The sequence below is a fragment of the Homo sapiens genome, chromosome 7 (assembly GCF_000001405.40).
Source record: "Homo sapiens chromosome 7, GRCh38.p14 Primary Assembly".
Classification (NCBI taxonomy): domain Eukaryota; kingdom Metazoa; phylum Chordata; class Mammalia; order Primates; family Hominidae; genus Homo; species Homo sapiens.
Genome location: NC_000007.14, coordinates 91,747,634 through 91,754,775, shown reverse-complemented (window position 1 = coordinate 91,754,775; position 7,142 = coordinate 91,747,634). Strand labels below are relative to the sequence as shown.

At 39.6% G+C, this 7,142-nt stretch overlaps 1 annotated feature.

Annotated features, from left to right (window-relative positions):
* Window positions 1,895-2,396: an enhancer, noted in NCBI's record as "H3K27ac hESC enhancer chr7:91381695-91382196 (GRCh37/hg19 assembly coordinates)". NCBI's record gives its function as "activates a minimal SCP1, AML or CMV promoter by ChIP-STARR-seq in primed H9 embryonic stem cells {active_cell/tissue: H9 hESC(primed)}" and the evidence as "EXISTENCE:reporter gene assay evidence [ECO:0000049][PMID:30033119]".

Below are 7,142 nucleotides of genomic sequence, written 5' to 3'. Positions count from 1 at the left end.
CTTCTGCTTTCCATTTGCTTGGTAAATTTTCCTCCATCTCTTTATTTTGAGCCTATTTGTGTCTTTGCATGTGAGATGTGTCTCCTGAATACAGTACACCAATGGGTCTTCACTCTTTATCCAGTTTGCCATTGTGTGCCTTTTAATTGGGGCTTTTAGCCCATTTACATTTAAGATTAATGTTGTTATGTGTGAATTTGATCCTGCCATCATGATGCTTGCTGGTTATTTTGCAGACTTGTTTATGTAGCTGCTTCATTGTGTCATTGGACTTTGTACTTCACTGTGTTTTGCAGCGCCTGGTACCAGTTTTTCCTTTTCATATTTAGTGCTTCCTTCAGGAGCTCTTGCAAGTCTGGCCTGGTGGTGACAAATTCCCTCAGCATTTTCTTGTCTGAAAAGGATTTTATTTCTCCTTTGCTTATGAAGCTTAGTTTGGCCAGATATGAAATTCTGGGCTGAAAATTCTTTTCCATAAGAATGTTGAATATTGGCCCCCAAACTCTTCTGGCTTGTAGGGTTTCTGCAGAGAAATCCGCGGTTAGTCTGGTAGGCTTCCCTTTATCGGTGATCTTGCCTTTCTCTCTTGCTGCCCTTAACACTTTTCCCTTCATTTTAACCTTGGAGAATTTGATGATTATATGTCTTGGGGTTTATCTTCTTGTGGAGTATCTTACTGGGGTTCTCTGTATTTCCTGAATTTGAATGTTGGCCAGTCTTGTTAGGTTGGGAAAGTTCTTCCAGATGATATCCTGAAGTATGTTTTCCATCTTGGTTTTGTTTTCCCTGCCTCTTTCAGGTACCCCAATCCATCATAGGTCCCATATTTTTACATAGTCCTATAATTCTCAGAGGTTTTGTTTGTTCCTTTTCCTTCTTTTTTCTTTAATCTGTTCTGCCTGTCTTATTTCAGCAACATAGTCTTCAAGCTCTGAAATTCTTTTTTCTGTTTGGTCTATTTGGTTATTGATACTTGTGGTTGCATTGTGAAGTTCTTGTGTTGTGTTTTTCAGCTTCGTCAGGTAATTTATGTTCCTCTCTGAACTGGTTATTCTGATTAACATCTCCTGTAATATTGTATCATGGCTCTTGGCTTCTTTGCCTTGAGTTAGAACATGCTCCTTTAGCTCAGCGAAGTTTGTTATTAGCCCCCTTATGAAGCCTACTTCTGTCAATTTGTCCATCTCAGTCTCTGCTCAGTTCTGTGCCCTTGTTGGAGAGGTGAAGTCTTGTGAAGAGGAGGCACTCTGGCTTTCTGAGTTTTCATCACTTTTTTTGTTGATTCTTTCTCATCTTCATAAGTTTGTCTAGCTTCAATCTTTGAGGCTGCTGACCTTTGGATGGGGTTTTTGTGGAGACTTTTTCATTGATGCTGTTGTTGTTGTTGCTTTCTGTTTGCTTTCTGTTTGCCTTTCTTTTAACAGTCAGGCCCTTCTTCTGTAGGGCTGCTGCCGTTTGCTGGGGGTTCACTCCAAACCCTATTTTCCTCCTACCCTCCCACACCTGGAGGTGTCACCTGAGGATGCTGCAGAACAGCAAAGATGGCTTCCTGCTCCTTCCCCCAGGATCTCTGCCCCCAAGGGGCACTGATCTGATGCCAGCAGGAATGCTCCTGTATAAGGTGTCTGGCAACCCCTTTTGGGGGTGTCTCACCCAGTTAGGGGGCATGGGTTCTGGGATCTGCTTAACGAAGCACTCTGGCTGCCCCTTGGCAGAGGGGCTGTGCTGAACTGTGGGGAATCCCACTCGTCTGGGCTGCCTGCATTTCTCAGAGCCAGCAGAAGGAAAGACTAAATCTGTTGATCCACAGAGACCATGGCTCCCCCTCTTCCCAGGGGCTCAGTCCCAGGGAGATCAGAGTTCTGTCCCTAAATCCCTGACTGGAGTTGCTGAAATTCCTGCAGGGCGGCCCAGCCCAGAGAGGAGGGAATGGGTCAGAGTCCAGCCTAAAAAGGCAGCCTGGCCATGATCTGCCACAGCCATTGTGCTGTGCTGTGGGGAATTCCTCCTGGGTGCAAACCATTCTGTCTCCCCAGTCCCAGCAGGGGAAAAATGGCAGGCTGGAGCTGCAGTGATGGCTGCTGCCCATCCTTCCTGGAATTCAGTCATCTTAGGCACCAGGCAGCCACAGTGATAATGGCTTCCCTTCCCTCAAGGAGCTCAGTAGTCTTAGGCACTCTCCAGCTGAGTGGCTGCTGAGAATCTGCACAACTCTGTGCTTGGGACCCAAGGCCCTGGTGGCATGGGCTCATGAGTGGGATTCCCTGATCTGTGGGTTGCACAGATCCTTGGAAAAAGTGTGGCTTCCCACTGCCTCCTTTGGCTGGGGGTGGGAGCTCGCTTTGCCCCATGTGGGTCTTAGGCTGTTGCACCACTCTGATTTTCCTCACTCTCCATGAGTCACAAACCACCTAGTTCCAATGACAGAACCTGGATACCTCAGTTACTGGTGCAGGATTCACTCACTGTTTTGATTCTTCTCAGTGGGAGCCTCCAATTGCAGCTGTTTTTATTTAGCCATCTGGGATCCTCCCTTCCTGCTTTTTCTATTTCTGTGAGGAATGACTTTGGTAATTTGATAGAGATTGCATTGAATCTGTAAATTGCTTTGGATATTATGATCATTTTAAATAATATTATATATTCCAATCCATGAACATGAGATATATGTCTTTCCATTTTTTTGTGTGTCCTCTTCAATTTCATCAGTGTTTTGCAGCTTTCATTGTAGAGATCTTTCACCTCCTTGATTCAATTTATTCCTAGGTATTTTATCTTTCAGTAGATGTTGTAGATGGGATTGCTTTATTGATTTCTCTATCAGCTAGTTCATTATTAATGTATAGAAACACTACTGATTTTTGCTTGTTGATTTTGTATCCTGCAACTTTACTGAATTAGTTTATCATTTCTTAGAGTTTTTTTGGTGAATCCTTTAGGTTTTCTATTATATAAGATCATGTTATTTGCAAACAGAGATAATTTGGCTTCCTCCTTTCAAATTTGAATGCCCTTTATTTCTTTCTCATGCCTGATTGCTCTGGCTAGGACTTCCAGCACTATGTTGAATAAGAGTGGTGAAAGTTGGCATTCTTACCTTGTTCCAGTTCTTAGAGGAAAAGCTTTTAACTTTTCCCCATCCAATAGAAGTGAACTGTGGGTTTGTCATATATGATCTTTACCGTGTTGAGGTATGTTCCTTGTATGCCTAATTTGTTGACAGTTATTTTTTTAACCATGATGGGATGCTGAACTTTATCAAATGCTTTTTGCATCTATTGAGATGATCATATGGTTTTTGTCTATTTTGTTGGTGTGATTTATGGTGTTTATTGATTTGTGTATGTTGAACCATCCTTCCATCCCTGGGATAAATCTTACTTGGTTTTGGAGTATATTTTTGATGTGCCATTGGATTTGGTTTGCTAGTATTTTGTTGAGGGTTTTGCATCTATGTTCATCAGGATACTGGCCTGTAGCTTGCTTTTTTTGTTGTGTTCTTATTTTGTTTTGGTTGTAGATATCTGGTGTTATAGAATGAATTTGGAATTTTTCTCTTGCAATCAATTTTTTGGAATAGTTTTAGATAAATTGGTGTTTGTTATTCTTTAAAAGTTTGGTATAATTCAGCAGTGAAGCCATCTGGTTCTGGGCTTTTCTTTTTGTTGGGAGGCTTTTAAATTACTGAGTCTATCTTGTTTTTCACTACTGGTCTGCTTTTTTTTTTTTTTTTTTTTGGTTCAATCCTGGTTGAACCAAGGTTGTATGTTTCCAAGAGTTTATCCATTTTTTCTAGGTTTTTCAATTTGTTTATGTGCAGTTGTTCATGATAGTTTCTAATTATCCTTTCTATTGCAGCAATGTCAGTTGTAATGTTTCTTTTTTCCATTCTGATTTTATTTGTTTGGGTTTTCTTTCTCTTTTTCTTAGTGTAGCTAAAGTTTTGTCAGTTTTCAACAAAACAGCTTTTTATTTTGTTGAACCTTTGTATTTTTTCGTCTCTATTTTGTTTGGTTTTGCTCTAATCTTTATTATTCCTTTTCTTTTACTAATTTTGGGTTTAGTTTGTTCTTGCCTTTCTGCTTTCTTGAGTTACATTGTTAGGTTGTTCACTTGAAATCTTTTTTTTTATGTAGGTGTTTATTGTTATAAAATTCCCTCTTAGCACTGCTTTTATTATATACCATAGGTGTGTTATGTTGTGTTTTCATTTACATTTGTTTCAAAAAATGTTTGACTTTCTTCTCAATTTCTTCATTGGACCATTGGTTGTTCAGGAACAAGTTGTATAATTTATACGTATTTATACAGTTTTTGAAGTTCTTCTTTTTACTGATTTCTAGTTTTATTTTGTTGTGGTCTGAAAAGATATTTGATATGAGTTCAATTAAAAAAAAATTCTTTGAGACTTGTTTTGTGGCTTAACATATGGTCTATCCTGGAGAATGTTTTATGTGCTGCCAAGAAGAATATGTATTCTGCATCTGTTGGACAAAATGTTCTGTAGTCTGTTAGGTCCATTTGGTCTGTAGTGCAGTTTAAATCTAATGTTTGTTGAATTTCTTTCTAGATAATCTATTTAATACTCAGAGTGAGGTGTTCAAGTCCCCAGCTATTATTGTATTGGGGTCTATCTCTCCTTTTACATCTAATAATATTTGCTTGATACATCTGGGTGCTGAAGTGTTGAGTGTATATATATTTAGAATTGTTATATCCTCTTGGTGAATTAATTCCCTTATCATTATATAATAAACTTGTCTCTTTTTACAGTTTTTGACTTAAAGTGTATTTCATCTTATATAAGTATAGCTACTTTTACTCATTTTTTGGTTTCTGTTTGTATGGAATATCTTTTTCCATCCTTCAGTTTCAGTCTATGTGTATATGTGCACCTTTATAGAAGAGGTTAATTTTTTTTTTTTTTGAGACAGGGTCTCACTCTGTTGCCCAGGCTGGAGAGCAGTGGCATGATCTCAGCTCATTGTAACCTTCACCTCCCTGGTCCAAGCAATTCTCCAGCCTCAGCCTCCTGAGTAGATGGGACCACAGGCGTGTGCCACCACACTTGGCTAATTTTTGTATTTTTTGTGGAGATAGGCTTCACCATGTTGCCTCGGCTGGTCTCAAACTCGGGTCTTGTTTTATTATTCACTTAGCTAGTCTGTATCTTTTAATTATGGAATTTAGTCCATTTACATTCAAAATCATTATTGATAGGTGAAGACTTATTCTTATCTTTTTTTAAATTATTTTCTGGCTGTTTTGATATTGTTTGTTATTTTTTTCCTCTCTCATTTTTTATCCTTGTGGTTTGGTGTTTTTCATAATTGTAGTTAGTGTGTTTTTCTTTCTGGATATAGAACTCCTTTAAGGATTTCTCATAAGGCCCATCAAGTTATCACACATTCCCTCAGTTCTTGCTTGTCTGGAAAGGGCTATTTCTCCTTCATTTTTGAGAATAGCTTTGCTGAATACAGTACTTTTGGCTGGCAGTTTTGTTCTTTCAGCACTTTGAATACATCATCCCATTCTCTTCTGGCCTTTAAGATTTCTGCTGTAACCTTATATGTGTATTCCCTTATATGTGACTTGGGGAAATCTGTTTGTGTTTTTTCTATTTGGGATTTTCTTACATGTGACTCGATGCTTTTCTTTTGCTATTTTAAGAATTCTCGGCCGGGCGCGGTGGCTCACGCCTGTAATCCCAGCACTTTGGGAGGCCGAGGCGGGCGGATCACGAGGTCAGGAGATCGAGACCATCCTGGCTAACACGGTGAAACCCCGTCTCTACTAAAAATACAAAAAATTAGCCGGGCGTGGTGGCGGGCGCCTGTAGTCCCAGCTACTCGGGAGGCTGAGGCAGGTGAATGGCGTGAACCCGGGAGGCGGAGCTTGCAGTGAGCCGAGATCGCGCCACTGCACTCCAGCCTGGGCGACAGAGCGAGACTCCGTCTCAAAAAAAAAAAAAAAAAAGAATTCTCTCTCTGCTTTTGACTTGTGGCAGTTTTACTATAACGTCCCTTGGAGAGGACCTATTTGGCCTGAATCTGTTTGGGAACTTTTGAGCTTCCTGGATCTGGATGTCCAAATTTTTCCCAAGACTTGGGAAGTTTTCAGCTTTTATTTCATTAAATAGATTTTCTATTCCTTTCCCCATCTCTTATCCTTTTGGAAATCACATAATACAAAAAATTGTTCTCTTAATGGTGTCCCATAGATCCTATAGGCTTATTTCACCTTTTATTTTTTTTCTTTGATCTGACTTATTTCAAAAGGCCTGTCTACAAGTTTGGAAATTCTTTCTTCTACTTGATCTAGTCTATTGTTCAAGGTCTTGGTTATATTCTTAATTTTATTCATTTAAATCTTCAGCTTCAAGATTTCTGTTTCTTTGTTTTTAAATAATATTGATCTCTTTGTTGAATTTCTCATTCACATCATGTATTATTTTACTGATTTATTAGTATTATTTATCATCATTATCTTGTATTACAGTAAGTTTCCTTAAGATCACTATTTCAAATTCCTTTTCAAGCTTTTTATATATTTGATTTTCTTTGAAGTGTGTACAGGAATATTATTGTGTTCCCTTGCAGATGTCATATTTTCTTGCTTTTTCATGTTTTTGTATTCCTACATTGATATCTGTGCATCTGGTGGAATTCTCACCTCTTCCAATTTTATGGAGTGGCTTTCTTAGAAAAAGATTTTTTCTGTAGTTGTGACCTATAGTGTTGGTTGGGTAGGGTGCTTTGGTATTGGTTCTGGATGCATGCAGTAGTAAAGTCTCTATGTGATTTCTTTGGCTGTAATTAATGTCAGTGATTTCTCCAGATGCCTCAGTGGCCTAAATTGCAGGGTTTGTGGAGGCATTGGAGCAGCTTTGCTGAGGATGGAGTTTCTGATGGTGGTTTGCCTTGGGCAGGTCAGTCCTTGGTACCTGAGGGGAATGTGCACAGTGTGTGGTAGCTCTGCCAATTAAGGGGTCTGAATTGCTAGCTGATACTGGCCACACCTATCCTTGGGCCCTGGGTTATGTGTGTGTGTGTGATTCTGCAGCTTTTTTGGTTGAGGGGGAGGGGCAACTGGCAGTGGCAGGCATCAGGTCGGCCCATCCTTTGGCCCTGGGGGGCACAAGT